At 38.9% G+C, this 10126-nt stretch overlaps 1 annotated feature.

The window, feature by feature from the left end:
* Window positions 3792-4291: an enhancer, noted in NCBI's record as "H3K4me1 hESC enhancer chr12:68233883-68234382 (GRCh37/hg19 assembly coordinates)". NCBI's record gives its function as "activates a minimal SCP1, AML or CMV promoter by ChIP-STARR-seq in naive H9 embryonic stem cells {active_cell/tissue: H9 hESC(naive)}" and the evidence as "EXISTENCE:reporter gene assay evidence [ECO:0000049][PMID:30033119]".

Genomic DNA, 10126 nt, shown 5'->3' on the forward strand with positions numbered 1-10126 from the left:
ATATCTTTCAACTTGTTTGTGTCCCCTTCAATTTCTTTCATCAGTGTTTTATGGTATTCACTGTAGAGGTCTTTCATATTCCTGATTAAATTTATTCCTAGGTATTTTTATTTAGAGCTATTTTAAGTTGGATTGCCTTCTTGATTTCTTTTTCAGCTAGTTCATTATTGGTGTATACAAAAGAGAAATGCTACTGATTTCTGTGTTTTGATTTTGTATCCTGCAGCTTTACTGAATTTATTTATCAGTTATAAGAGTATTTTTGGTGGAGTCTTCAGGTTGTTTGATACATAAGATAATGCCATCTGCAAAGAGTGACCATTTAACTTCCCCTTTTCCAATTTGAATCCCCTTTATTTCATTCTCTTGCCTAATTGCTCTGGCTAGGACTTCTAGTACTATGTTGGGTAAGAGTTGTGAAAGTGGACATCTGTGTTTTGTTCCAGTTCTTATAGGAAAGGCTTTCAGCTTTTACCCATTCAGTATAATGTTAGCTGTGGGTTTGTCATATATGGCCTTTATTATATTGAGGTATGTTTTCTCTATGCCTAATTTGTTGAAAGTTTTTATCATCAAAGGATGTTGAACCTTATCAATTGCTTTTCGCACCTGTTGACATAATCATCTGGATTTTGTCCTTCTTTCTGTTGATGTGATGTATTACATTTATTGATTTGTGATGTGGAACCATCCTTGCATCCCTGGGATAAATCTCACTGGATTATGTTGTATTACCTTTTTGATGTGTTGTTGGATTTGATCTGCTAGAATTTTGTTCTGGATTTTGCTTCTGTGTTTATAAGGAATCTTACTCTGTAGTTTTACCTTTTGGTGTGTTCTTATCTGGTTTTGATATCAGGGTTATGCTGGCCTCATATAATGAGTTAGGAAGAATTTTATCCTCTTCAATTTTCAAAAGATTTTGAGAAGAACTGATGTTAATTCTTCTTTATAAATCTGATAGAATTTAGCAGTCAACCATCCAGTCCTGGGCTTTTTTGTTGTTGTTGTTGTTTTCATTTTTTATTACTGATTCAATATCTTTACTCATTATGAGTCTGTTTACTGTATCCTCCTGATTCAATCTGGGCAACTTCTATGTGTACAGGAATTTATCCATGTCTTCTAGGTTTTCCAATTTGTTAGCATATATTCATAATAGTCTCTAATGATCCTTTATATTTCTGTGGTGTCAGTAGTAACATCTCCTTTTAGTTTCTGAGTATATTTATATGGGTCTTCTCTCTTTTATTCTTGGTTAGTCTAGCAGTTTATCAGCTTTGTTTATCCTTTCAAAAAATCAACTTTTCATTTTGTTAATCCACTGCATTTTTTTAAGTCTCTATTTCATTTAGTTCTGCTCTGATCTTATTTCTTTCCTTCTGTTAATTTTGAGTTTGGTTTCTTTTTGCTCTTTTTAGTTCCTTAAGGTTAGCCATTAGGTTATTTGAAATCTTTCCAATTTTTTATGTAGGTATTTATTGCTATAAACTTCCCTCTTAGCACTGCTTTTGCTGTATCCCACAAGTTTTGGTATGTTATGTTTACATTTTCATTTGTTTCAAGAAATTTTTTTTTCTTCTTAATTGACACAGTGGTTGTTCAGGAGCATGTTGCTTGATTTTCATGTATTTATACAGTTTCTAAAGTTCCTCTTGCTGTTGATTTCTAGTTTTATTCCACTGTGGTCTGAAAAGATACTTGATATAATTTCAATTTTTAAAACATTTTGAGACTTGTTTTGTGGCCAAATATATGATCTAACCTGGGGAATGTTCCAAGTGCTGATGAGAAGAATGTGTATTCTGCAGCTGTTTGATAAAATGTTCTATAAACATCTGTTAGGTACACTTGGTCTATAATGCAGATTAAGCCTGATATTTCCACGCTGATTTTCTGTCTAGATGGTCTAATGCTGAAGGTGGAGGGTTAAATACCTCAACTATTGTTGTATTGAGATTGATCTCTGCCTTTAGCTTTTACAATATTTGATTTATATGTCTGTGTAGTCTGGCATTGGGTGCATATTGTTATTAATATATTCTCTTGCTGAATTTATCCTTTCGTCATGGTATAATGGTATTCTTTGTCTCTTTTTATGTTTTATTGACTTGAAGTCTATTTTGTCTATTGTAAGTATCACTACTTCTACATGCTTTTGGTTCCCATTTTCATGGAAATTTTTTCCACCCCTTTACTTTTAATAAATGTGTGTCTTTACAGGTAAAATGAGTTTTCTGTAGGCAGTTGGGTCCCAGGTTTTTAAATTATTATTATTTCAGCCAGTCTATATCTTTTAATTGGGGAATTTAAACCATTTACATTCAAACTTGTTATTAATAGCTGAGGACCTACTCTTGTCATTTTGTTAATTGTTTTCTGATCATTTTATATATCTTTTGAATATATCATCCCATTCTCTCCTGGCCTATATGGTTTCTGCTGAGAAATCTGCTGAATAGCCTTATGGAGATTCCCTCATATGTGACTTGACACTTTTCTTCCACTGTTTTTAGAACATTCATTTTGTATCTGCCTTTCGACAGTTTGACTATAATGTTCTTGGAGATCTTTTTGAGTTTAATCTTCGTTGGGAATTTTGAGCTTCCTATACCTGGATGTCTATATCTTTTGCAAGACTTGAGAAGTTTTTAGCTATTATTTCATTAAATAGGTTTCCTCTGCCTTTCCTCATCTCTTCTCCTTCTAGAACTCCCAAAATTCAAATATTTGGTCTCTTTATGGTGTCACATATATCATGTAAGTTTCTTTTTTAGTCTTTTTTCGTCTGATTGAATTATTTCAAAAGCCCTATCTTCAGAAATTATTTCTTCTGTTTAATCTATTGTTAAAACTCTTGATTATATTTTTTATTTCACTAATTCCTCAGTTCCAGGACTTATGTTTGGTTCATTTTTATCATATCTATCTTTTTGTTGAATTTCTTATTCAGATCATAAATTGTTTTTCTGATTTCTTTGTATTTCTTATCTGTGTTCTCCTGTATCTCACTGAATTTCTTAAATGTTGTCATTTTGAATTCTTTTGCAAGAATTTCATAGATTTTCTTTTCTTTTGGGATTTATTGCTGAAGAATTATTGTGTTCCTTTGATTATGTCATTTACTTGCTTTTTTAATGTTTCTTTTGTCCTTACATTCATATCTGCACATCTAGCATAACAGTTGCTTCTTCCAATTGTACGGATTGGGTTTTGTAGAGAAAGAATTTTTTTTACAATAGAGATATCTATAGTATTGGTTGAGTAGGGTGCTTTGGCTTTGATTCTGGGTGGCCACAGTAGTGGAGCCTCCATATGGTATCTTCGACTGTAATCAGTGTTAATGGAGTCTCTGACTTCCTCAGTGGCTTAGGTTGTGGTTATTAGTGGAGGCTGTGGCAAGGCTATGGTGAGGATGGGGATGTCAGGTGTGTTTGTTTTGGGGGATCCAATGGTGGTGACAGTGGGCTGGGCCTGCTGAATCCTTGGGCCCTCAGCCTGTGTATGCAGGTGCCAGTGATGTTGGTTCTGGGTCTCAGGGCTCCAGGCAGCATGCTGTTACCAATGATGGTAGCAGCAGGCCAGGTGAGTGGGTCCTTAGGTCCCTGAGTGGTGTGTATTGCATTAGCAGTGGCAGTAGAGGTGGCACATCAACTCTGGGGTTTCTGAGCAGCATATGCAGGCACCAGTCACGGTGATGGCAGGCTGGGTCCCTGGATATTGTGTGAATTCACTGGTGGTGGTGGGCAGGGCAGGCCTGTCCTCAGACCCCTAAACAGCACATGCGGACAGTGGCTGTGTGGAGGGTGGACCCATCTTCAGGCTCCCAAAAGGCATTTGCAGCTTCCAGTGGTCATGGGCAAGGTGGGTCAAACCCTACACCCCCAGACAACGCAAGCAGGTGCTGGTAGCGGTAGCGGTGCATGGGGCAGGCCTGTCCTGACATCCCTGCAGTGTGTGTGTGGGCCCTGGTTGTGGTGGGTGGAGTGGGTTAATCCCTAGGCCCCTGGACAATGTCCATAGGAACTATCAGTAGCGGGCAGAGTAGATCTGTCCTCAGACCCCCCAATGCTGCATGTGGGCACTGGTAGTGGTGGACAGGGAAGGTCAATTCCCAGGCCCTTGGACTGAGCTCTTAGGTGTTGGTGGTGATGAGTGAGATAGGCCTGTCCTCAGGCCCCACAGTGGTGTGCAAGAGTGTTGGCTGCAGTGGGTGGGATACACCCCAGGACTCTGGATTGCACTCGGGTGCCAGCAGCAGGCATGGCAGGCCTGTCTTTAGGCCTGAGGATGGTACACGTCGGCACCAGCAGCAGTGGGTGGAATGGACCTGTCCTTGGGTCCTGGGATGGCACACAGGCAGACTGGCCCCCAGTCTCCTTAAAGGTACATGCTGGTGTGTGGCAGGCCTCCTATTGGAGAAGTCGGGGTTGCTGTCAGTGGCAGCAATGCTGGTTAGGCAACCCTTAGGCTCTAGGGAGAGCATGCTTTGGCTCCATTTGTCCCAGGTTCAGCCTCCCTGTTGCATTGCACCACCCATTTCCCAGGGTGTAAGATACTGTGTGGGCTAGAGTGCTGGGAACCTGGCTGCACTGCTGGGTCCAGCTGGCATCGCAACACCGCAACCCTCTGGGTAGATGTAGGGGAATCTCAGCAGGGTCAGGGATGTGAAGATGCAAGGGCTGTTGGGCTCCAGAGCAGGATGCAGTGTGGTGGGGGCTGGACTCTCAAAATAGCACTGTGCTGCAACTTGTTGGGTCTTGGGGTTTGTGTGGAACCCAGCATAAACCCCCTTTCTGGACCTGTGCTGTCTCATGCACTCAGGGCATCTTTCTTCAGCACTCTCAGTATCCATGAGGGCCGAGTGTCCTGTGGCCAGGATTGTAGGCATCCTCGATGTGAATATAGATTTTTAGGGAGCTCTCACTTAATTCTTCCCTACAATGGGAAGTTCCCTCTCATTCTGAGCCATTCCTGGCCAGGCCAGCTGCTTTGCCTTTCCTTCTGTCTCTTCTCTGCTGGGTTCCAATGTTCTCTTTTAGACATGTGGTTATCTATCCCCTGTCTTCGTCCTTCTTTGTGGAAGAGGCAAATGCTGGGTACCTCTAATCAGCCACCCTGGAGCCCACCTCTAACATTCTTCTGATGGTTTTGAATTTTCGGGTTTTTAACCTCAAAGAGCTCTTTTTTTTATTGTTTTATTTTTGTAATAGCAGATGTATATAGGTATAGTTTGTGGTGGATGCAATATCGGTTGATATCTCTGAAAATTCTAAGTGGATTTTTAAAATTCTTGATGTTGTTTTTTAGCTTCTCTTCTTCTCCCTGAATTATCTCCATTACCTCTGGGATCAGTTTTTGCTATTTACTTGTCTTGAATATTTTCTTACACATGCTGGTAAATTCTGCTTAGTGATCCTAGGTTTTCTCTTTGCATTTACAACAAATGACTGAGTAGTTGGGATGGGTTTACTTTTATATTAGTAGGTCTATTTCCTGATATACTTTCTCATTCCTTTAGTGGGAAGTCTGACTGGAAACCCCATGTAGTTGAGGGGGAGAGGTTCACTGACAGGACTGTTTTAGGATAAGTGAGCAGGGAGCCAGCAATCAGGTACTAATCTCCCAAATTCCAGATTGAGGAAGGCTTTACTTTGAGACTCAAATTTCCATACCATAATCCATAGATGTTCTCCTATGGTTTATTCAAGAGGTTTGTTCAGGAAGTATTGATAACAATGATAAAAACTATTGATATTGCTACTATTTATATAGTATCATGTGCTAGACACTGTCTTAAGCACATCACATATGTAAATTCATTTACTACTTACAAAAATCTTATGAGTTAGGTACTATTATTATCCCGCTTTCATGCACAGGGAAATGGAGGCACAGAGAGGTTAAATAATCTGCCCAAAGTTACAGAGTTAGTAAATGGCAGAAGCAGACTTTGAACCAAGATAACTTGCTCCACAGTCCATTCTTTTAACCTCCACGTTATGTTGCTGGGCTGATTGCCCTCTGTGAACAGATGGGACACAGGGTAACTAAGCCAAGTAACTAAGGTCATATGCAGACCTTAGTTTTCACACACAGAACTGCTATCTGCTCCAGGTTTCTCTATTTTCTACTAACTCCAAGCTTGTGGTTGCTCCAACTTTGCTACTGGTAAAGCTCCCACCTAATCATAGCCCCTCTTTTAGAAATTCTGTGCTATTTATCTGCCTAGAACCTTCCATCTGCTTCCTGTCATCCAGAAATTTGTTGACATTTCTCATTCACTAATGATCAATGCTCTTCACATCCTTTCCCAAATAACTTTTATTCTTTATTCTTTTTTGTGCTTCTATATTTCTATTTCAGTGGACTCTCAGGAAGCCCGGATCATAAATGTGTGCTCAATTTGCCATCTTGAAATAACTTCGAAAGGAAATATATTTCTATGGATATTTTTGCTCTGTTGAAGTTATGTTGTGCAAAGAAGTATAGATTCAATTGGTACCATTCATTTCCACTTATTTCTTTTACACTTATATATGATTAAGAAAGATATACATTATCACCCTGGGTATAGAATTTAATAAGTATGGGTTCCAAACATATTATTCTGCATAATTTTCACTAGAAGTCCAGCTAGATATTTAATGGGCTGCAGAAAAGCTGTATTTAAGCTGAAATAACTTTCAATGTTCTGAGTGCTTCGGTGAAGCAATACTTTAGGAAAATGTGAGGGATGGTAGTCTGTACTTCAGAATTCAGTGAGTTCCTAAGAAATCATCTGAAGTGGTTGATGGGATGCTTATTCTATGTTTGCAAAATGCTCAATATCAAAACAAAAGAGTTTATTTTTTCTTACAAAATGTTCAGTACTTTTCTTCTATGGCTATTGTAAGAATTAAATCACCTAATAAGTATATATAAAAGCATAAGGACGAGCACATTGTAGGTACTTGGTAAACACTTGGTTGGCCCTTTGTATTATTTTAATTAGGCTAAAACTCCATTGTGGAGTTGTGGAATCAACTCAATCTGAAGCATGAAGGTTAGAATCTGAAAATTTAATTTGATATGCAGAAGAGAATGCAATGTAGAGATGTAGTTAAACTCACAGACTATGGAGTCATACGAACTGAGGTTTGAGTCATATCTCTACCTCTTGGTTGTGTGTCTTCTTATGACTCAGTTTCCTCATCTGTAAAATGGAGATTACAATAGTATCTACTTTGTGCAATTATCAAAAGGATTAAATGGGAGAATGTGTAAAGACTTTAATGCATTATAAAATGGACACGAAGTACTTAGCACGTTATGCAATACATAGTAAATGCTCAATAGATATTATCTGCTATTATAATGATTGATTGCAACACTCATACATTATGAGTATCTTTTACACCTCTAAAATTTTTTCAAAACCATGGAACATGAAGCTACTGGGTGGTAATGTTATCTTCCCAGCACGTTATGCTTTAGAGACTCATTTTCTTTTTTTTTTTTTTTTATTATTATACTTTAAGTTTTAAGGTACATGTGCACAATGTGCAGGTTAGTTACATATGTATACATGTGCCATGCTGGTGAGCTGCACCCACTAACTCGTCATCTAGCATTAGGTATATCTCCCAGTGCTATCCCTCCCCCCTCCCCCCACCCCACAACAGTCCCCAGAGTGTGATGTTCCCCTTCCTGTGTCCATGTGATCTCATTGTTCAATTCCCACCTATGAGTGAGAATATGCGGTGTTTGGTTTTTTGTTCTTGCGATAGTTTACTGAGAATGATGATTTCCAGTTTCATCCATCTCCCTACAAAGGACATGAACTCATCATTTTTTATGGCTGCATAGTATTCAATGGTGTATATGTGCCACATTTTCTTAATCCAGTCTATCATTGTTGGACATTTGGGTTGGTTCCAAGTCTTTGCTATTGTGAATAGTGCCACAATAAACATACGTGTGCATGTGTCTTTATAGCAGCATGATTTATAGTCCTTTGGGTATATACCCAGTAATGGGATGGCTGGGTCAAATGGTGTTTCTAGTTCTAGATCCCTGAGGAATCGCCACACTGACTTCCACAATGGTTGAACTAGTTTACAGTCCCACCAACAGTGTAAAAGTGTTCCTATTTCTCCACATCCTCTCCAGCACCTGTTGTTTCCTGACTTTTTAATGATTGCCATTCTAACTGGTGTGAGATGGTATCTAATTGTGGTTTTGATTTGCATTTCTCTGATGGCCAGTGATGATGAGCATTTTTTCATGTGTTTTTTGGCTGCATAAATGTCTTCTTTTGAGAAGTGTCTGTTCATGTCCTTTGCCCACTTTTTGATGGGGTTGTTTGTTTTTTTCTTGTAAATTTGTTTGAGTTCATTGTAGATTCTGGATATTAGCCCTTTGTCAGATGAGTAGGTTGCAAAAAATTTTTCCCATTTTGTAGGTTGCCTGTTCACTCTGATGGTAGTTTCTTTTGCTGTACAGAAGCTCTTTAGTTTAATTAGATCCCATTTGTCAATTTTGTCTTTTGTTGCCATTGCTTTTGGTGTTTTAGACATGAAGTCCTTGCCCATGCCTATGTCCTGAATGGTAATGCCTAGGTTTTCTTCTAGGGTTTTTATGGTTTTAGGTCTAACGTTTAAGTCTTTAATCCATCTTGAATTAATTTTTGTATAAGGTGTAAGGAAGGGATCCAGTTTCAGCTTTCTACATATGGCTAGCCAGTTTTCCCAGCACCATTTATTAAATAGGGAATCCTTTCCCCATTGCTTGTTTTTCTCAGGTTTGTCAAAGATCAGATAGTTGTAGATATGCGGCGTTATTTCTGAGGGCTCTGTTCTGTTCCATTGATCTATATCTCTGTTTTGGTACCATTACCATGCTGTTTTTGTTACTGTAGCCTTGTAGTACAGTTTGAAGTCAGGTAGTGTGATGCCTCCAGCTTTGTTCTTTTGGCTTAGGATTGACTTGGCGATGCGGGCTCTTTTTTGGCTCCATATGAACTTTAAAGTAGTTTTTTCCAATTCTGTGAAGAAAGGCATTGGTAGCTTGATGGGGATGGCATTGAATCTGTAAATTACCTTGGGCAGTATGGCCATTTTCACGATATTGATTCTTCCTACCCATGAGCATGGGTTCTTCCATTTGTTTGTATCCTCTTTTATTTCATTGAGCAGTGGTTTGTAGTTCTCCTTGAAGAGGTCCTTCACATCCCTTGTAAGTTGGATTCCTAGGTATTTTATTCTCTTTGAAGCAATTGTGAATGGGAGTTCACTCATGATTTGGCTCTCTGTTTGTCTGTTATTGGTGTATAAGAATGCTTGCGATTTTTGTACATTGATTTTGTATCCTGAGACTTTGCTGAAGTTGCTTATCAGCTTAAGGAGATTTTGGGCTGAGACAATGGGGTTTTCTAGATATACAATCATGTCATCCGCAAACAGGGACAATTTGACTTCCTCTTTTCCTAATTGAATACCCTTTATTTCCTTCTCTTGCTTAATTGCCCTGGCCAGAACTTCCAACACTATGTTGAATAGGAGTGGTGAGAGAGGGCATCCCTGTCTTGTGCCAGTTTTCAAAGGGAATGCTTCCAGTTTTTGCCCATTCAGTATGATATTGGCTGTGGGTTTGTCATAGATAGCTCTTATTATTTTGAAATATGTTCCATCAATACCTAATTTATTGAGAGTTTTTAGCATGAAGGGTTGTTGAATTTTGTCAAAGGCCTTTTCTGCATCTATTGAGATAATCATGTGGTTTTTGTCTTTGGCTCTGTTTATATGCTGGATTATATTTATTGATTTGTGTATATTGAACCAGCCTTGCATCCCAGGGATGAAGCCCACTTGATCATGGTGGATAAGCTTTTTGATGTGCTGCTGGATTCCGTTTGTCAGTATTTTATTGAGGATTTTTGCATCAATGTTCATCAAGGATATTGGTCTAAAATTCTCTTTTTTGGTTGTGTCTCTGCCAGGCTTTGGTATCAGAATGATGCTGGCCTCATAAAATGAGTTAGGGAGGATTCCCTCCTTTTCTATTGATTGGAATAGTTTCAGAAGGAATGGTACCAGTTCCTCCGTGTACCTCTGGTAGAATTCGGTTGTGAATCCATCTGGTCCTG

The sequence above is a fragment of the Homo sapiens genome, chromosome 12, assembly GCF_000001405.40.
Source record: "Homo sapiens chromosome 12, GRCh38.p14 Primary Assembly".
Classification (NCBI taxonomy): Eukaryota; Metazoa; Chordata; class Mammalia; order Primates; family Hominidae; genus Homo; species Homo sapiens.